Source organism: Homo sapiens, chromosome 2 (assembly GCF_000001405.40).
Source record: "Homo sapiens chromosome 2, GRCh38.p14 Primary Assembly".
Lineage (NCBI taxonomy): Eukaryota > Metazoa > Chordata > Mammalia > Primates > Hominidae > Homo > Homo sapiens.
The window spans coordinates 159,115,644-159,136,772 of NC_000002.12; the positions used below are offsets into that span (position 1 = coordinate 159,115,644).

Genomic DNA, 21,129 nt, shown 5'->3' on the forward strand with positions numbered 1-21,129 from the left:
GAGAGAATCCATATCCTGGCATACCCTTAACTCATTTTTTGCATGCCATTGGGAAGCTTGCCGAGCTCTAGCTTGGTTTTCTTGATAGGTCAAGATTCAAAATATTCTGTTGTGCCTCATGACTTTGTTTTTCTCCCCAGTTTAATTTTCATAGTATTTCCAAGGTGGGCATTATTCCTGTGTTTTGGGTAGGAATTCTAAGGTTCTGAAAGGTAGAATTTCAGCCCTCGTTGGTCCTGGGATTCCAAGTAATGCTGTTTCTGCCCTACCACAGGTGTAGGTGCTGGTGTAATTAACTACAGTGTGGAGTGGTTTGACTTTGCCTATCTTGAACTTTGAGTGCTCCACGAAGCCATGCTTGTGAAGAGCACCAAGGAGTTGAGTGCAGAGTCTGAGCTAAGGTTGCTGGCCTCAAGAGAGAAAAGAGGATTTTGAAACAGGGCATCTGACGCAGAGGCTGTGAAGGTCAAGTATGATAAGGAATGAAAAGTACCTGTTAGTGGCTGGGCGCGGTGGCTCACACTTGTAATCCCAGCACTTTGGGAGGCCGAGGCAGACAGATCATCAGGTCAGGAGTTTGAGAACAGCCTGACCAACATGGTGAAACCCCGTCTCTACTAAAAATACAAAAAAATTAGCTGGGTGTGGTGGCAGATGCCTGTAATCCCAGCTACTCAGGAGGCTGAAGCAGGAGAATCGCTTGAACCCAGGAGGCAGATGTTGCAGTTAGCCGAGATTGTACCACTGTATTACAGCCTGGGTGACAGAGCAAGACTCAGTCTCAAAAAACAACAACAACAACAACAACAACAAAAAAAAAAAAACAAAGGACCTGTTAGCTTTTGGAAATATGGCAATTGATGACCTTTGAGCAGAATAGGCAAACTTTTTCTGTCAAGGGCCAGATAGTAAATATCTCAGGCTTTGAGGGCCACACAGTCCCTGTTGCGACTATGTAACTCTGCCATCGTAGTACAGAGCAGCCTTAGACAATACGTAAATGAGTGGTCATGGCTGTGTTCCAGTGATATTTTATGTATAAAAACACTCAGTGGTCCAATTTGGCCCCTGGGCTGTAGTTGGCCAATGTTAACTTTTGTCTCAGGAAAGGAAAGGAGAAATGGAAACTTAGCATTTATTCAACCATGTGCTAGACACTGCATGAACATTTTCAAGCCTGCAGCTTAGGTATGAACCCCACTTACAGTGAGTTGATGGAGCGCCCCAAGAGCTTAGTTATAACTTTGCTGAAGGTTAGACTGCTCGTTGATAACCAGTTGGGATTTGAACTTCAGTCTAATTCCAAAGCCTGGGTCATTTTCACTTTACTTCATTGCCACCCGGAATAGTGGCCTTCGATCACTCTCGAAAGGTGCAGATGGCACAGGAGCCCTCACACTCTGCCTTTCCACCATATCCTTCACATGACCTTCAGTGAAGCAGTGTTTGCTGCTTTACCCTCCTCTATGCTGAGGGTGAAAGGACTGTCAGGAACACAACCTAAATACAACATAGAAAGTAAAAGGACTCTCCTGTATGTGACGAGACCTCTTAGTTACCATTAAAGCTTGGGTGAACTTCTATTTTTAATAAAATTTAAATTCAGAATAGCGTTAGATTTATAGAGAAGTTGCAAAGAATGCAGAGTTCCCGTGCACTCCATACCAAGTCTCCTCTTATTAACATAGGACATTAGTATGACACACTTGTCAGAGTTAATGAACTGATATTGATACCTACTAAAGTCTGTACTTTATTCCTTTTTTTTTTGAGATGGGGTCTTGCTCTGTTGCCCAGGCTGGAGTGCAGTGGTGCAATCTCGGCTCACTGCAAGCTCCGCCTCCTGGGTTCACGCCATTCTCCTGCCTCAGCCTCCCGAGTAGCTGTGACTACAGGTGCCCGCCACCACGCCCGGCTAATTTTTTGTATTTTTTAATAGAGACGGGGTTTCACCGTGTTGGCCAGGATGGTCTCAATCTCCTGACCTCGTGACCCGCCTGCCTCGGCCTCCCAAAGTGCTGGGATTACAGGCGTGAGCCACCGTGCCCGGCCTATTCCTTTTTTTTTTTTTTTTTTTTTTTTTTTTTTAAAGCTTATTCCCAATGTCCTTTTTCTATTCCAGTATCCGAGAGGACACCATATTGCATTTAGTTGTCAGGTCTTAGACTCTTCTTGGCTGTGGTGGTTGCTCAGACTTTCCTTGTTTTGATGACCTTGGCAGTTTTGGGGAGTGCTGGGCTGGTGTTTTGCAGGTTGCCCCTCTACTGGAGTTTTTCTGTACTGGAGTTTTTCTGTACTGGAGTTTTTCTCTACTGGAGTTTTTCTCTACTGGAATTTTTCTGTACTGGAGTTTTTCTCTACTGGTGTTTTTCTCTACTGGTGTTTTTCTCATGATTAGACTGGAGTTACAGGTTTTGGGGCAGAAACCACAGAAGTGAAGTGCCTTCTGCTCCCATCTTTTGATGTACACAGTAGCTACCTGGCTTATCACTGTCTTGACTTCGATCACCTGGCCAACGTAGTGGGTGCCAGGTTGCTCCAAGGTGAAGTTATTCGTTTCCTTCCCTCCCCCTTCCATATATTAACATGAACGCATTTGTATGCATGCATAGATGCTGTATGTGGAGTGTGCTGTACTCTCCAGAAGGCAGGAAGTCGCTGTGTGCAGCCCACACTTAGGGGTATGGTGGTGTACACCACCACCATGAGAGTGGAGGATCTATGTAAATTGTTTGGAATTTTTCTGCATAGGAGATTTGTCTTGTTTCCCATTTATTTTCATCAGTATGGATTCCCGGGAAGATGAACTCCCAGTGTTGTACTTGGGTGTGATTCAGGAGTATGCAAGCCTTTCTGCCCCACTTTGTTGCCTTGTTAACTAAGGGAGGCTGAGATAAGTCCTCTCAGGTGCAGTCAGAGTCTGTCCTAAGATGGGGGTAGGGAGTTGCTGTGCCTCAGTGGTTTACTTTCTCAATATAGACTGTTAGCCATATGTGTGTTACCTGAAACCTTAAGGAGAAAGCATTTTTGGCCGGCCTGGAAAGGACACAAGCAAATGTAGCCTTGATGGTGGAGAAACGTCTCTAGCAGGGCTGTGCATCTGAATCAGCATTGAAGCAGCGCCACCTTGTGGTTGATGCTGAATGAGCTGTGTATTCGGCCAGGTTCTGTGATTCTTACCCTGTCTGCATGCTGTTCGAGTAGCTAAAGTACTTTAGAAAAGAAGAAACACTTTAAACTCTTAAAGAAAAAGAGAAGCTACCTCCTAACTTTGCCTTTGTACATGACTGGGTACACAAACAGCAGACATCTTAAAGTAAAAAATCTCTGTAGTTACTTTGTTTGACATACTGTTAATCATGTATTTTCTGGTAAGCCTTTTTGTCTCTGATTGTTCAAAATTGTTCAATAGCTGAGGCGTAAAAGTAGAATAGGTTATAACCCCAAGCCTCTGTCATATTTTTCTTTGGTATAGGCAGATTGGGCAGTTATTTTAATATTCATTCTTCTTTGCCCCCAAATGTCTTCAGATGTTTTTGTACACATGCGTAAGAGGTTTGAGCCTATGTAGGAAGTAGCCAGGGAGTCTACTGAAGTCCACTGTAATGTGTGGGAATGTGGAGCCAGTTATGATTAACAGCTGTCTGCATCCTGGATTGTTTAACCCATTGTTTACACCCACTCTTCAGAACCAGTGGAGGTGGGGGAGTTGGGAAGATGGTTTCATATGACCTGTGGTTGACCTGATTGACTGTTAGCAGGTGCTAAGATGGAGATCAGTTTCAGTTGGTTTTAAAAAAAATCAAGAAGCAGCCACTCTGTTGTAATAAATCATTGTATATTCAGGAATTCTAACTGTAATGTAAAATCTTGATCACCTGTTTTAGAGTAAGGTAAGCAATGACTGTAGTTGCTTTAACCAATAAAAATTCGACATCAACCTGAGCTGTAGCATGTTTAATGTGGAAACCCTGTTCTCTGTTTTGTCCTGAATGCTGAACACTGATAGGAAGTCAGATGCGGTAGCTGAGAGGTCACGATGGCCTGGGTTGCTGCAGGGGACGGCAGCAGGCACTCTTAGGAGGTGAGCTGCGGTCGTGGCTTATCTGGCCCCTCTCACTGATGTCACAGGTTACCTATGCAATCTGTGAGTGCAATTTGTCCTTTTTAGACTCTAAACAGATAATGGCTGAGCCCCCAAATATGGCTTTGCTGCTGCGCTTGATGTTTGCAAGAGGGAAGAGGTGTTTCAGATAATGGAAAGCATGTGCTTGCCAGTGTGAGCTCATCAACAATGAGGTCAGAGGAGGACAGTGCCTCTTGCTCGCAAGCCCAGCCTTCATACTGCCTTTTCTTTCAGTCTCAGGTGCAGCCTGTTGTGGGATTGTTAGAGGCCCCTTGCATGTGGTCTGACATGCCAGCCTTCTGACCATGTGCAACAGGACTGTGGGCTACTCCTGACTTCAGAGATAGCATCTTTGTACAGATGCCAGAGATGCCAGAGACACCCAGGAGTTGAGTCTGCTGGGGGACATGGACAAGGACGTAGGTGACAATAGTGTATGTGCTGTGGGGAAAGGATGACTGTGATAGCATGTGGAAGGTTCTAGAATTCAGAGGGTAACAGAAATGAGATGGCAGTCCTTACCAGCAGGGTGGGCACTGTGGGATAGGGAGTAGACAATGGTGGACTTGGACTTGAGGGAGTAGTTTGTTTATTTTTTTTTAATTTTTTTTTAGAATCTTGAACTTCCATTGAGTATTCTGAAAGGGAGAGATTGACTTTACATGGTGGAGGGACTATTTTGAGCCTTTTGATGTTGAGAGAAGCATTTTATGTACAAATGATATGAATTTTGCATTGCTATTCAGTGCATTATGGTTAAAAATTTTAAATATGGCTTCTCACAAGACTTAAAATTCAATGTGTCAATCTTGTGTTTAAAAAAATTTTAATTATTTTTAGAATGAATTTCACTTAAAGCTAAAAATTATGTATTTCAGGATAGGGTGTGGTGGCACAATGGATCATCACTCACTGCAGCCTCAACCTCCCAAGCTCAAGTGATCCTCCCACCTCAGCCTCCCAAGTAGCTGGGACTACAGGCACACACCACAACTAATTTTTGTATTTTTTTGTAGAGATGGGGTTTCACTGTGTTGCCTAAGCTGGTCTTGAACTCCTGAACTTAAGCGATCCTCCTGCCTCTGCCTCCCAAAGTGCTGAGATTACAGGCATGAGCCACCGTGTCTGGCCTCTCCTTTCTCTTTTACTTACGGCAGTTGAGGCCCACCTAGATAAGCCCCTCATCTCAGGATCCTTAACTTAGTCACATCTACACAGATGATTTTTCCAAATCAAGTAGCAAATACCATAGGTTCCAGGGAGTATGTCTTTGGGAACCATTATCAGTTTACCACACCTTCCTAACACAAGGTAACCTGATGGTCTAATAACATGTTTGCTGGAGTACTAGCTAGCATGTCCACATGTCCTGCCAGAAGAAGGAAAGAGAAGAGCAAAATGGGGTTTCTCCCAGCTGGCTCATCTTTGTAAACAGTCTTCCTTGAAATCCTACCTGATGCTGGCTCACCTCTCATTGGCTCTGTGGACCTAGCTGCCAAGGAGGCTGGGAAATGCAATTATTTATGCACTTAATTGCACTAGGGTGCTAAAGCATAATTTTCTCCGCTATTGTTGTTGTTTGAGACGGACTCCCACCCTTATCGCCCAGGCTGGAGTGCAATGGTGCAATCTTCGCTTACTGCAACCTCTGCCTCCTGGGTTCAAGTGATTCTTCTGCCTCAACCTCCTGAGTAGCTGGGGTTACAGGTGCCCACCACGATGCCTGGCTAATTTTTGTATTTTTAGTGGAGACGGGGTTTCGCCATGTTGGCCATGTCTCAAACTCCTGACCTCTGGTGATCCACCTGCCTTGGCCTCCCAAAGTGCTAGGATTGTGAGCCACTACGCCCAGCAGTTACGAGAAAGGCAATAGCATAATTCATTAATTAGGGAATCCAAAAAGATGTTAATGGTTTAGGAATTTGGGTTATAGAGATTTATATTGTCTGCCAGAGAATTGGTATGGACAAACATTGCTAGGGACAGGAATCATTTGCACTGCCAAGTTTTCTGCAATTTACAGACCTGTAAACTAGTCAATAGAAAGTCAAGAGTGTACACAGCTATGGAAAGATACTGTCGGAGGGTCTGCTTTACATAAGCAACATCCAGGCCCACTGAAGGTACACCCTGTTATCTCTTTTGTCCCTTTCCAAGTGTTTGAAACTTTTTATTTATTTATTTTTGAGAGATGCTCTCGTTCTGTTGCCCAGGCTGGAGTGCAGTGGCAGGATCACGGCTCACTGCAGCCTTAACCTCCCAGGTTGAAGTAATCCTCCCACCTCAGCCTCCCAAGTACATGGGACTACAGGCACACGCCACCACACCCACCTAATTTTTGTATTTTCTGTAGAGACAGGGTTTCACCATATTACCCAGGCTGGTCTGGAACTCCTGGGCTCAAGCCATCTGCCCGCCTTGGTCTTCCAAAATGCTGGAATTACAGGTGTGAGCCACTGTTCCTGGCCTATTTTTTAAAATAGTGAAAAATTAGGGCTTTCTTACAGAGGTGGAAGGAGATGATAGATGCTGGGGCTGGCCTTTAGCTGTTGCTCTCTATACATGGGTCAGAGATGTTTACCCAGGATTTGAGACTTGGGGACTTCCTATAACTGGGTATCACTATTATCATTGAAGTGGCCAGACCCTCTTTTCTAACTAAAAAAAAAATTTAATGTGTTTTTTTAAAATTAACATAGAGCAAAAATGAACTTTTTTTTCTCATTGTACAGATCTGTGACTGTCAAATGCACAGTTGTGTAACTACCACAAAGATACCAGTTCTTTCACCCCAAAATATTCCCTCATGCTGCTCCTTTGTAGTCAACACCCAACTCCTGACAACCCCTGAACTGTCCTCCAAACCTATAGTTTTGCCTTTTCAGATGTCGTGTTTAGAATTGTGTATAACCTTTTGAGTCTGGCTTCTTTCGCTTAGCCTAATGCAGTTGATTCATTCATGTTGTAGTGGGTATCAATTCTTTTTCTTTTTTCTTCTTTTTTTTTTTTTGCAGAGTAATACTGTTTTCCAAAGTGGTTCTACCATTTTGCATTTTCACCAACAGTATGAGGGTTTCAGTTACTTTGCATCTTCACCAGCAGTTTTTATATTTTGTTTTTTAAGTTTTAGCCATCCTAAAAGGTGTGCAGTGGTAGCTCATTGTCCAAGCTGGCCCTTTTAATGGTCTCAGTGCAACCTAGTCAGGTTGAAACTATGATCCATAGCTAATCTTTGGACCTAATCTGATTAAACTCATAAATCCTATTAAGAGCAACAGTGCTTACAGGTATTTCTCTAGAGACAATTGCGTTCTGCATCTCTGTTCCCTGTTCTTGCCCTTGATCTCTGCACCCTGATCTTGGCCCATGAGTGCAGGTAGAGGATTCGCTGTGTGTGGATGTATGCAGATGCATGCCAGAGCAGGTAGGTGTGAGGATGGGGCTGAAGAATTTCCTTCAGGTGCTCCCTTCCGATGGTGATTTTTTTCTGTATAGGGCGAAGGGTGGAGTGTGTATGTGCGTGTATTAGATTTGTTGGAGAAGGCTGGGATAGTCTTGACCTGGTCACTGTGGAGGATGGAAAGAGAGAGTGCTATTGAGTGAGACATAGGACTGCTCTGCCTTCACCCTCTCCTGGCTGGTTAGGGAGGGGTCGTGGAGCACCTTCTAATCAGTGGAAGCTTTCAAGGGACTGGGCTGGGACCCACGCTCCCCTCACCCCACCTCAACCCCTCCAACACCTCCCCATATCTCCCTTCTCACATTCCTCCCCTTACTTCTGAATCTCCTGCCCTGACAGAAATGAAATGGAATTCTGTGGTAGCCACTGTACTGAGTAAATATTGGAGAAGACATTCCCAAATTACAGGATTTCTTAGAAGTTACTAATTTATAGCAAATGAGTATAATTTACTTAAAAAGCAGAAATAAACTTTTTCTTATTGAAATATATATTTGTGCCCCACCTGAGTACATAGCTCTGTGCTAAACACTGTAAAGAAGCTAAACAGAGACAAAGTTCTCTTCCTCCAACTGCTTTTACTTCGTTTAGGAAATGGAAAGAGTAAAACCCCCTGCCTCCCACCTCTGTGGTCCCATTCAGTGACGCCAGTCTCCCCTCGTGCCCCCAGCCTCAGGTACAGCTCAATCGCTGCCTTCCTCCCTCCCGCTGCTGTTTTTCCCAAGTCATTTAACATCATACTGTTTTGTCTTCATACTTGAATTTTGAGCTTTCTTGGGCTGTGGGCAAGGTCTTGCATAGCTACTCCAGACAGGCCGTGCCAGTGGGTTTCAAACTTGAGTGGGAGGCCAGGTGAGGTGGCTCACACCTATAATCCCAGCACTTTGGGAAGCTGAGGCGGGCGGATCATTTGAGGTCTGGTGTTCGAGACCAGCCTGGCCAACATAGTGAAACCCTGTCTCTACTAAAAATACAAAAATTAGCCGGGTGTGGTGGTGCCTGTCTGTAGGAGGCTGAGGCATAAGAATCACTTGAACCTGGGAGGCAGAGGTTGCAGTGAGCTGAGATCGCACCACTGCACTCCATCCTGGGCGACGGAACGAGATTTTGTCTCAAAAACAAAAAACAAGCCTGAGTGGGGCATCGGAATCACTCTGTGGTCTGGGGAGGGGCTGAGAATTTGCATGTCTAATAAGTTCGCAGGTGATGCTGTTGCTGTTGGTCCAGGGGCTGGTCTGAACCCACAGGGAAAGAAAATTCTCAAGGATCCTGCCTTCCTTTTGGAGTCAGTTACTTCAGGCAGTGGAGGGCTCACTTCCTCCTTGTGCAAACAACAGAAGAGCCCTGTGGCTTAAGGCCTACTTCCTGAGTTCCTTAGACAAACTCTGAAATTAGCCATTCTAGGAAGATCGATCTTTCCTCCAGGGATATCTTTAAATCAAAGTTTGTGGTTGTTCAATTGTTTGTAGCTATTTTCTTAACCATTCCTACAAAGCTAAGGAAATCAGCTGCATTTTTTTTTTTTCCAGAGACAGGGCCTCATTTTATCACCCAGACTGGAGTACAGTAGCATGAGCATGACTCACTGCAGCCTCGACTTGTGTGATCCTCCCGCCTCAGCTCTCCCCACCCCCCGCCCTCCTCACCAAGTACAGGCACGCACCACCATGCCCAGCTAATTTTTGTATTTTTTTGTAGAGATGGAGTTTCACCATGTTTCCCAGGCTGGTCCTGAACTCCTGGGCTCAAGTGATCCTCCCACCTCAGCCTCACAAAGTGCTGGGATTTCAGGCGTGAGCCACCATGCCCAGCTGGTATTAGATTCTTTATGGCACATTGTAATTACTACCAAAAGTCAGAGGAAGTAAGAGCTAGAGATTTCCTCCTTGTGAGCTCACAACCAGGCATGAATGAAAATAAGGCTTAGGTGGAGTTCTGCCCATACAGATTTATTAGTAGGCTGTCACAGCACAGCCACACAACCTGCTTTATACGCCTGGTGAGGCTCCAGCTTTGTCCTTTTCAGGAGTCTGCTCTGACAGCAGCTTGCATTTGGTGTTTACCTGTAGCACATGAGACAGTGTTTCATAGACATTATGTCAGTGTTTTATTGCTGCCCTGAGAAATTACTACAAGCTTATCTTAAATCTATTATCTCACAATTCTTTAGGACAGAAGTCCAGGCACATCTGGCTCTCTTCTCTAGGTTTCCTTAGGCCAAAATCAAGACGGTAGCAGGGTGGTGTTCTGTTAAGGCTCAGGGGATGAACCACTTCCAGGCTCATTCAGGAGGGCAGAATTCAGTTCCATGTGACTGTAGGACTGAGGTCCCCATTCCTTCCTTCCTCCCTCCCTCCCTTCCTTCCTTCCTTCCTTTTTTGACAGAGTCTTACTCTGTTGCCCAGGCTGGAGTGCAGTGTCGTGATCTCGGCTCACTGCAACCTCCGACTCCCGGGTTCAAGCAATTCTCCTGCCTCAGCCTCCTGAGTAGCTGGGAATACAGGTGCCTACCACGCCCAGCTAATTTTTTGTATTTTTAGTAGAGATGGGGTTTCACCATGTTGGTCAGGCTGGTCTCGAACTCCTGACCTCAGGTGATCCACCCGCCTCGGTCTCCCAAAGTGCTGGGATTACAGGCGTGAGCTGTTGAGCCCGGCCTAGGTCCCCATTTCTTTACTGGCTGTCAGCTGAGGATTCTTCTCAACTTTAGAGGCTGCCTGCATTCCTGTTTGTGGTTCCCTTCCTTCATCTTCAATGCCAGAAAGGTGGCTTCCTTCTCACACTTTAGTGTCTGACCCTTCCTCCTGCCTTTTCTCACTTCTGCTTTCGAGGGTCTGTGTGATTATAGCAAGCTTACCCAGATAATCCAGGATAATCTATTTGAAGGTCATCTAATTAGTATTCTTAATTCCATCTGCAGAGTCCCTACATGGTCGTACCCAGATTGTGTTTGATTCAGTAATGAGGGGATGGGATCTTGGAATGATATCTTTAGAATTTGGCCCACCAAAGGCAGAATTCAGGTTTTCCTGCCATTTTACATCAGGGACTTAACAATTCCTGGGAATCAGCAGCTGGACCTGGGGCCATTTACTTATCAAACCTAGGGCACCATTCTTAACCTTGAGCCTTACATTTCTGAGGCTTATTACAATCTGGCCTGCTAGATTTTTATATTTGGGTCACACACAGGCAGAGTGTTTCTGACATTTCCAGTCAACTCCCTTACCTCAAATATCATCAATTTCACCACTGAAAATGTTCCAACAGCTGTAATACTAATTAACAAAGTCAGTAATTTAACCAATATGAAAGCCCATTTCTGACCCAAAGTATACTAGTTAACATAACCTGCTCTTGGTTGGTGATAAGGATAGCTAGCAGACTGGCTTGCAGTAGTGTCTCTTGAGTGTGGCTTTTTGATTAAAAGCTGGTTAACTACTCTTGGAGCCTGTCTTCCAGATTAAGACAATTCATTGCTTTTAGGCAGTTGGCTTACAGCCACTGGACATATCCCAGCTTATGTTGAAGTGTTTTGAAATAAAATTCAAATGATATAGTAGACTCTTGCCATCTTAACCGAGAGCATCGAGAGTTCAGTCATGTCTGTGGTTCTCACCCTTGTGCCTGGTATGCAGTGGATGTGTCACAGATATTTGTTGAGTAAATAAAATGAATTAATGCATTTCCATGCTTTCATATATAACAATTTTAGTACAGTGTGAGAACAGCATGACAGATTGCACTGGAAGAAAGCAGAAATGTTACTCAAGTTACTTTGTTGTACTAGGAGCTTATTGTACTCATGATGCTATAAACATGTAGACTACAAACTGGAACTTGAAAGTGTTAACATTTATTTTAATGATACCTTATTGAAAGGAGCATGGCTACAAAAAAATCCCATCAAAAAGTGGGCGAAGGACATGAACAGACAATTTTGAAAAGAAGACATTTACATGGCCAACAAACATAAGAAAAAAAGCTCAACATCACTGATCATTTGAGAAATGCAAATCAGAACCACAATGAGATACCATCTCATGTCAGTCGGAATGGCGGTTATTAAAAAGCCAAGAAACAGATGCTCGTGAGGCTGTGGAGGAACAGGACCTCTTTTACACTGTTCCTGGGAATGTAAATTAGTTGAACTATCATGGAAGACAGTGTGGCGATTCCTCAAGGATCTAGAACCAGAAATACCATTTGACCTAGCAATCCCATTACGAGGTATATACCCAAAAGAACACAAATCTTTCTGTAAAGACGTGCACACGTATGTTTATTGTGGCACTATTCACAATAGTAAAGATGTGGAATCAACCCAAATGCCCATCAATGATAAACTAAAGGAAGTGTAGTACATATACACCATAGAATACTATGCAGCCACAAAAAGGAACAAGATCATGTCCTTTGCAGGGACATGGATGAAGTAATGAGAACACATGGAGAAGAACAACACATACCGGGGCCCGTCAGGGCACGGGGGGAGGGAGAGCATCAGGATAAGTAGCTAATGTATGTGGGGCTTAATACCTAGGTGATGGGTTGATAGGTGCAGCAAACCACCATTGCCATGTTTACCTATGTAACAGACCTGCACATTTTGCACATGTATCCTGGAACTTAAGATACAATTTGGAAAAAAGGAGCATGGCTCCAGTTTGATATACTGTTTTCCTACCAGATTGTGAACATTTACATCCTCACAATGTCTTAGGCGTTGCACCAATGAATAAAGGCTGTCTGCCCTTTCCCAGTGGATCTTCGCAAACAAGGTATTTGAAATAAATAAAAGGAGGCTTATTAAGAGTGGTGTTAGGTGACTTTTGTGTTTTCTTCACTATCAGCAGGTGACACACTTTTTTGTCTTCTGTTTTTTTCTTCCCTAGAATTGCAGTCTGAATTTCCCTAGATCTCACTTGTCTTTGGATTAGGATGAGGTCCCAGTAGTAGTGACTCAAATCACACTGATCTTTTGCCACTACCTTTTCATACAAGGCCCCAGGCCCTTGTAAAAGTGTTCCTGAATGCTTCTGGAAGTACCCAGAGGGTGTCTGCTGGGACAGCTGGTGCACTTCTGTTTCCAGGTGCCTTGTCCTTCATCCATACCCTGTATCCCAGGAGTTGTGGGGGGCCTGGTGCTGCGTTTTGTCATTCCCTGGAGGAGAGCTGTCAGCAGTTTAGTTACTTAATCCCCTTCTGCCTCTCATGGGAGATATCCAAGGGATGGATGCCAGGCTGTGTTTGAAATTGCCCTCCTCTTTGGCCAAGGTTTTCCAGCTTGGTCAGTTCATTTTCTGTCTCCTTCCCCCAAGGTGAATCTTCCCAAGAGGCTCTTACCCTGTAAGATGGTGTCTTTGGACGGTGCCTTCTGTCCCCCGAGCCGTGCCTCAACTCAGGCAAGAGACAAAAGCACAGGGAGCCAGCCCATGTTCCTGTTATAAAGACTCCCTTTATCCCACAGGCTTGGGTAGGCCAAGTCATCATCTTTTTTCAGTCCCTAATTGCATGTCACCTCATTCTCCTCCCTGACCAAGCACTCTTTTGTTGGGGGGGCAGGGGAAGAGGGGTCAAACTTTAGAAGCTCTGTCTGGATGTCTTGCTCCTTAAAATCCAAGACTTATCTGGTAGTTTACCACGGTTTGCCATTAGGAATTGGCTATTTAATGCAATTTGCCTTAGTGATAAAGGTTCCCCCTGCCCCCAAAATATTATCTTACTCATCTCTTTATTTTCCTCATCTTGTGAAATTTCCCACTGTGGAATGAAAACCTAGATCAGATAAAATTGGCAGGAACCTTTACTGTGAAAGTTCAGGATGCAAAAAAATCCCTAAAATGATTGATAACATACAGTGTCACTTTTCACAGCCTCCAGATATCATGAAAAATGTAAGATCCACTTTAAATGCAATAAGTAGCCTCAGGTGTTCTGTGTCCCAAATATTGCTTTCATATAAATATATAATTATCTTTAACCGAAACACTCAGAAATGAAAGGTAATCCCTGCCCTTCTCCCTTTCACTGCCTCGAGATAAAGCTGGGTTTGGTTTATTTCTACCATCTCTTTTAAAAAATACTCCTTATGTGGCAGTTTCTAAGCAGCAAAATAGTCAGCTGTGTGATTAAAATGTCAAAAAGCAGGAAAACTGGCCGCTGGGAAAGTCTATTTGGAGATTTATGTAAAGGCAGAATTCTGAATGGGGAGAGTGCTGTACCTTCTGGGCTGCAGAGTGGAGTAATTAAGGGAGGGTTCTGGCCACATCCTTCCAGACTGACACAGGCCCTGCTACACAGTTAAAGAAGCTGACAGGTGCTTGGGTTTTGTTTTGTTGTTTTTTTTTTCTTTTGCAAGCTGCATACTTGATATCTTTGGGTTTATGGCTGTGTAACTTACTTTTGGCACTTTGTTGTTTTTAATTTTAAGGGTCCTTTATAACTTTGAGATCCACCTTCTCCTGTATCACATAGTGGAGATTGTGAGGGGAGGGGCAGTGGCCTGGGGAAATTGGAATGAGGAGAAGGATCTAGAGTTCAGATGAAGTAGCTTTAATTTATGATGGAGGGTAATGCCCATTTATCTTAAATCTTGTAAACTGAACACGTTGGTGCTCCACTCACAGCCACTGCACTTCACTTGAACCTGACTGGAGTGGGTGGTAAACAGCGGTCTTCCCTAGAGACCCCGTTCGTGCTACCAAAGTGTCATCTGTGGTCCCAGCCCACACCTTGAACATCAGAATCTACATTTGAAGCCTGTGCACGTTACAGCTGGAAAAGCGGCGGCAGCAGGATACCAGTACCGGGGGCGGCGGGGGACTGGGAGCCCAGCCCTGGAGACATGCCAGCTCCTAGAGGAGCTGGTTGTCAGCTAATACCAGACGGTCTTTCCTTGTTCTCGTTGTTGTTGTTGTTGTTTATTTCATGTTTTTATCCACAGACAAGTCTTGTTTTGTTTTTAAGAGCCTCCTGCGTTAAAACATACCCAGTAGCTGGAATATCATGCTTTCTGGGTAATTATTATGTAGTATTACATTCTGGTTAATTTGGGGGGATTAATCTCATAACACTTGGTTTAAGTAAAAGGGGGAAGTTAAAAGTAGCTTATGCTTGAATATTTCGTTTTAAACAAAAAGTTGTGAGGGGAAGGTGCTGGGCAGTAGTTTTCCCTGAGTGAGGGCTTGGGGAGATGGATTTTTCAGTCTGGATCTCTGTTGATAAGGACTGTGGCTGCTTTATGTGGGGGAGTGTTCCGTATAGATGGCACAGCGATTAGTGTCATTGTGGTTTAATAGGTGGTCATGTGTGATTGGCGCTTGGTGACTGTGATGGCTCCTGACTGTGTGGCCTGCAGTTGTTCTGTAGCCGCAGCCTGCTTAGCTGCCCACATCATGGGCTCCAGATGTCCCTTGTGCCAGTATCCTTTTGTGTAATAGAAACAGTATTGCTTTTCTTTCTATAGGGCGTTTCTTCTTTTCTCTCATTCCTTAGTTTATTTTTTTAAAGAGACAGGGTTGGCACAATCATAGCTCATTGCAGCCTCGAACTCCTGGGCTTAGGCAGTCCTCCCAAGTAGCTGGGACTACAGGCGTGCACCACCGTGCCCAACTCAGAGTTCCTTTCTTAATCTGTGTCAGTTGCTGTCTTTCAGGGTAGGTCTTTCCTCACCTGCCTGGTGGTCCTTGGCTCCTTATTTGTATATAAGGTGCTAAAAGCTGATTGAAAGGGGTACGTTGAGGGCAAGCTGTGCTGCAGCATGATGGTCAGGGATCTACCTTTCTTGGGGTGGGGGGTCCCCAACTATGATTATCTTTAGGCCTTCTTCTCTTGATGAGCTTCCCCAGAGAGGAATCCTCCCATCTCTTCCTGCCGTGGCCTATAAGCTTGGCTGTCAGATCTCATAGCTGGGGGCTGGGGGTGGGAGATACGTCTCTGGCCCATCAGTCTGCATGTAGAATATTTCTTAATCTACTTTTTCCTTAGCAGTTACAAGTTTAAAAAAAACATGAAAAGAAAACGGCACTCATGAGTTTAGCTCTTGAATCTCTCTCCATGGTCTTAGAATTGAGCCTTTCCAGAGAATAAACTTGGCCTCCAGGATGAGGGAGGGGAAGGGATGTTCCAGGCTTAAGAAATTTCTGGGATTGGGGGGTCTCACTTTTCCTTCAGTAGTTTTCAACCAGCCACACTACTGGATGTCACCCGCGCCCCTGCCTTCCGATGGGCCTGCTGTCACCGAGGCTCTGGCCCGGGCTGAGCCCTCATCACTCCCCCTCCCCCCGCCCCTTCCCCTGCCCCCACCCAACACTAACCTTTCTGCTCCACCTGCTCCACTGCTCCTTGGCAATCTGTTTCCTACCTTCAGAGGCTTGGTTTCTGGCCAGTGGCTCTTTCTCCTTTCCCCACTGGTCTTTCTTTAATCTTTTTGCTACAACTTTAATGGTGTTTTGAGAGGGAGTGGAGGCAAACACGTATCATCTGCTCTGCTTAATGCAAAGTATGCACAAATTCTCTAATGAGTGATTGTGGGGGACAATAAAACCTATGGTTATAAATTTATCTTGTTTTACAGCACTTTATGTTCAGCTGTTTGTGAAAAGCAATTTAAATACAAGGATCATGCAGGAGAACAGTTGTTTATATTCACTTAATATTTCCTCTAGTAAAAGGGAAGATCAGAGACAAGTAGGATGCATAAACGATTTGCTGCCTCTGCAGCCAGCGTCCATGGATGTTGATGACTGGGTGGTGGAAGTTCCCAGTGCCTGGGCTTTTTCTAGAATTGCATATTTAATCCAGATTTGATAGTTGTATAAGTGCTCAATGGTGATTCAGTGCCTGGGCTTCAAAACTGCATAGACCAGGGTGTGAATTCCTTCCTGCTTTGTCATGTGTGGGCCGAGTTCAGATAAGAACAACTTATTTGAACCTCAGTTTCCTGACCTAAAAATGAGGGAAATTGTACTTTTCTCCCAGAGTTATTAGGAATGAGTGAATTAATGTATGTGCGTGCTTTGCCTTGTGTGACCACTGAATATATATTTTACTTACTTTGTTATATTCTAGGTCTCCTTTCGTATGTGACATTACTGTGATTTAGTGTGCCTGGGAACCAGGTGGGCCTGGTCTTTGTGCGTGGATTTTCCCCTTGTAGCAAGAGGTTCATTTGCTCACCTTTAGGGTCTGGGACATATTAAGGCCCGAGTTAGGGGACATGAGGAGGGAGGGGTACAGTTTTGTTTTGTTTTGTTTTGTTTTTCTTTTGTTTTGTTTGAGACAGTCTCACTCTGTTGCCCAGGCTGGAGTGCAGTGGTGTGATCTCAGCTCACTGCACCCTCCATCTCCTGGGTTCAAGTGATTCTCGTACTTCAGCCTCCAAAGTAGCTGGGACTACAGGCACATGCCACCACACCCAGCTAATTTTTTTTTTTTTTTTTTTTTTAAGTAGAGATGGGGTTTCACTATGTTACCCAGGCTGGTCTGGAACTCATGAGGCAATCCACCCACCTCGGCCTCCCAAAGTGCTGGGATTACAGGCATGAACCACCGTGCCAGGCCTGGGTACAGTATTTGAACCTAGGTCTGCCCAACTCATGAGTCCCTGCGTTGAGTATCCTGGCTCCTCAGGGTTGAGTCTATGAGTTAGGGGTTGGATCTGAATAGAACCGTTCTAAGACAGTTAAACAGGCAGGCACGTGGATGCTTTCTGAAGGCTCTGGGTGATACTGGGTTCCAGGATCCAGACATTTACAATAACCATCATACATTAATGAAATAGCCCACATTTTAAGAAAGTGCTTACTATTAGAGAATAGTTTTGAAGACTCTCTTGGGTAGGTAGATTGGAGCTTGGAAATAGATCTCTTTAGATTTGCTGTTACTGTACCCTGAAGAGTTAAGGGGAGCAGAAATACAGGCACTTCTTGAGCAGTGGCCATGCCTGCTCATTGGGCAAATTATCAGGCAATAATAACAAAGAGCTTTACCTCCCCAGGTCCTTCAAATGGATGAGGGCAGATGAAGGGAAAATATGTCAGCAGTTCATTTTACCTTAGAGAGTAGGTGGCAAACCAAAAGTGTATATGGGTTCTTGTCTTTGTTCTGGTTCCTTTTTTTTTTTTTTCTCTTTTTTTGTCTGAGACAGGGTCTTGCTCTGTCACCTTGGCTGGAGCACAGTGGTGCAATCACGGCTTACTGTAGCCTCCAACTCCTGGGCTTACAAGACCCTCCTACCTCAGCCTCCTGAGTAGCTGGGACTACAGGCAAACGCCACCACACCCAGCTAATTGATTCCATTTGTATCTGTCCTATTCAGGCCCTTCTTTCTAGTTTATGTCTCTTACACAGCAAATAGTTTAGCTCCACCCCCAAACCCCCACAAGTCTTTTTCCCTACGCATATTTATGTGTGGATATATATATATGTTGTAGATAAAGTCTGGATACTGTTGAATAGCCTACATCCCGCACTTAGATTGCAATTGTGTGTCCCCTGTAACCATTCTATTTTAATCTTTGTAAAAGTTCCCTTTATGACAGGGTTAAATTATGAAGACCGCCAAGTGATTAAATACTACATGAATCATTTAAAAACGATGGTTCCTGAAGTTTGAAATACCGTCCTTATTTGTAAAGTATTATTAGCTTATTTGATAACAGTCTAGTTTAAGATGTAGTACACCCATGTAGCTGGCTAGGAATTGGATTATTTTTATAGTAGTATAAATGCTTTTGTAGTATGCCTTTAGATGGCAGCATCTCTCGCCATAAACCATCTTTTGAACAGAATTTCTTAGATGCAGAAGACGTTTGAGACAGAAGGATGGTCTATCTGCATCACCCCATCATGACACAGTGGTGGAACTGGGCCCCTGGGACTGTCAGGGCTATGGCCCAGGGCTAAGAAGAGGGGATAGTTGTAGATTCCTGCCTGCATGTCTTCTACTACCCCTTCTCTTACTGATGTAAAATGTTTCCTATCTTTGTGGTCTTGCTAAAAGCCACTTTAAGGCAACCAAGGAACACTAGAATCAAGGAAGTGATTTTGGACCAAAATGTAACAGAATAGGCAGTATTTTCTTTATTTTTGAGACAGGGTTTCACCCTGTCGCCCAGGCTAGAATGCAGTGGTGTGATCTTGGCTCACTGCAACCTTTACCTCCTGGGCTCAAGTGATCCTCCCACCTCAGCCTCCTGAGTAGCTTGGACTTCAGGCGCACATCACTGCACCCAGCTAACTTTGTTTATTTTTATTTATTTATTTTTTGAGATGGAGTCTTGCTCTGTCGCCCAGGCTAGAGTGCAGTGGCGTGATCTCAGCTCACTGCAGACTCCACCTCCTGGGTTCAAGCGATTCTCCTGCCTCAGCCTCCTGAGTAGCTGGGATTACAGGCGCCCACTACCGCGCCTGGCTAATTTTTGTATTTTTTTTAGTTGAGACGGGGTTTCACCATCTTGGCCAGGCTGGTCTCGAACTCCTGACCTCATGATCCACCCGCCTCGGCCTCCAATGTGCTGGGATTACAGGCATGAGCCACCGCGCCTGGCCTCTTTGTTATTATTTTTGTATAGAGACCAGGTCTTCACTGTGTTGCCCAGGCTTGTCTCAAACTCCTGGGCTCAAGTGATCCTTCTGTGTTGGCCTAAGTGCAAGAATTACAGGTGTGAGCCACCGTGCCTAGCCTTTTAATTTTTTTTAAGCAGTTTTGTTTAGGTATAATACACATCCATACAGTTCACCCATTTAAAGCATACAATAGACTAATTTTAAATATATTCATAGAGTTGTACAACCATCCCTACAACCTAATTTTAGAACATTTGGTCACTCTAGAAAGAAGTCACATATCCCTTACCATTACCCCACAGGCCTGCATAGCCTGCATAACCCCCAGCCCCTGGCAACCATTTATACTTTCTGAAAGATTTGGCTATTCTGGGCATGACATATGAATGGAATCATGTAGATCCTTTGTGACTGGCTTCTTTCACTTAGCAGAATGTTTTCAAGCTTCATCCATGTTGTAGCATGAATCGATACTTCATTCCTTTCTACTGCCCAATAATCCATTGTGTGGGCAAAGAACATTTTGTTGTTGTCATTTGACGTACCTTTAGCTAGTACAAATGGCGTTACTGTGAGCATTCGTGTACAAGTTTTTGTGTGAACATACATTCCCATAGGAGTAGAACTGCAGGGCCATGTAGTAACTCTGCACTTAACCTTTTGAACGACTGCCAAACTGTTTTCCAAAACGGCTGCATCATTGTATGTGAGGGTTCCATCCAGTCTTACGAAGAATTCCGGATTTTCTGATAATAAGCAGGGGCTGTGGGAACAGGAGGTAGGAGATAAGCCTGTTGGTCTCTCCTATGTCTGACCCGCTTGCTGGCTGCTGTGCCCCGCACAGTTACTGTGCGTCACCAGCCAGATAAGATGCCTGTGTTCTTGTGGCTGGTGCGCAGACTGTGTTGCTGTTACAGGCCGGCTGTTTGTAATCCTTGCCTCCTGACTTTAGAGATACCAAGCTACCAAATTGTCTTTGTCCCATCCTTGTCCTAGTTAGAGGAAAATCAAACCCTTCATCACAAAGCAGTCCAGGTTTGAACATGTCAAAATCACCCACTTGACCAGTGAAGACAGCTGTAGCGACTTCACAGCAAGAGAGCAGCTTTTGTTTTTGTTAGGGTTTACATTCTCAAATCTGAGCTTACTCTTTTCTTCTTTGGCAGGCCAGACTGGACGTTCCCTCGTCTGTACTGAAATTTTGTGTGTGTGTGTGTGTGTGTGTGTGTGTGTGTGTGTGTGTGTGTGTGCGCGCGCGCGCGTTTAAGGGAGGGGAAGGCACTGGCTCTTCCTCTAGGCATATTTGGGTCCTGGTAAGGACACACACTGTACATTCCAAGGCTTTGTTTGCATCTGGAAAAAATTAGCCACACTCAGATCTTTCCCACTACAGGTCCCGTCAGGAAGCCCAAGTATGTGGAAAGCCCCAGAGTGCCTGGAGATGCAGTTATAATGCCATTCAGAGAAGTAGCCAAGCCAACAGAGCCTGATGAGCATGGTAAGAATTTCAGTGATTTCCTTCCCCCTCTACCAAAGATTTTATACAATGACACTTCATTTCTGAATGAAACTTGAGTGTCCTTGCAGTACTGCTTTGCTGAGAATGTATTTGGGAGGTATTTTCCCCTCCAGCAGTTACAGAGATCTGTTTGGCTAACGCAAATTCTTGGAAATTGTATACCTGGCGTATAAATAGTTAAGTGGGTACATATGCATTATTTAAGGATTGAGTCCTATTTCCTCTGAATTTTGACCTACCAGGTCTTGGAGGATAGGAAGCGTCACCCAGTAGATTGCTTCCAAGATTTTGTTTTGTTTTTAATATTCTACTGCTTGAGAAAATTCAACAACAGGCTTTGGCTGAAAAGCTGAAACCTTAACTGGACAAAGCATGTAATTGCTAGCTTTAAAAAAAGCATTTGGTGTCTTTTGAAGGCTGCTTTTTTTAACATCTGAAGTTTTTCTTTAGGGG

General features: G+C 44.4%; 1 protein-coding gene across 38 annotated transcripts in view, besides 3 other annotated features; it reads left to right on the top strand.

The window, feature by feature from the left end:
- Window positions 1-21,129, top strand: part of TANC1 (tetratricopeptide repeat, ankyrin repeat and coiled-coil containing 1) — a 264,020-nt gene that overhangs the window by 147,004 nt on the left and 95,887 nt on the right. For 30 of the 38 annotated variants that reach the window (NM_001350065.2, XM_047446107.1, XM_047446108.1 and 27 more), the window contains one exon: window positions 20,551-20,655. The exons of 7 other annotated variants lie outside the window; for them this stretch is intronic. In NM_001350065.2, coding sequence (NP_001336994.1) covers window positions 20,551-20,655 — 105 coding nt within the window. Of the gene's footprint in view, window positions 1-2,089; window positions 4,546-20,550; window positions 20,656-21,129 lie in introns of those variants that run through there. One more of the 38 variants, XM_047446132.1, reaches the window with a different exon arrangement.
- Window positions 2,974-3,268: an enhancer, noted in NCBI's record as "tiled region #14439; K562 Activating DNase unmatched - State 12:CtcfO". NCBI's record gives its function as "activates a minimal TATA promoter and a strong SV40 promoter by Sharpr-MPRA in K562 cells {active_cell/tissue: K562}" and the evidence as "EXISTENCE:reporter gene assay evidence [ECO:0000049][PMID:27701403]".
- Window positions 7,944-8,457: an enhancer, noted in NCBI's record as "H3K4me1 hESC enhancer chr2:159980099-159980612 (GRCh37/hg19 assembly coordinates)". NCBI's record gives its function as "activates a minimal SCP1, AML or CMV promoter by ChIP-STARR-seq in primed H9 embryonic stem cells {active_cell/tissue: H9 hESC(primed)}" and the evidence as "EXISTENCE:reporter gene assay evidence [ECO:0000049][PMID:30033119]".
- Window positions 8,458-8,969: an enhancer, noted in NCBI's record as "H3K4me1 hESC enhancer chr2:159980613-159981124 (GRCh37/hg19 assembly coordinates)". NCBI's record gives its function as "activates a minimal SCP1, AML or CMV promoter by ChIP-STARR-seq in primed H9 embryonic stem cells {active_cell/tissue: H9 hESC(primed)}" and the evidence as "EXISTENCE:reporter gene assay evidence [ECO:0000049][PMID:30033119]".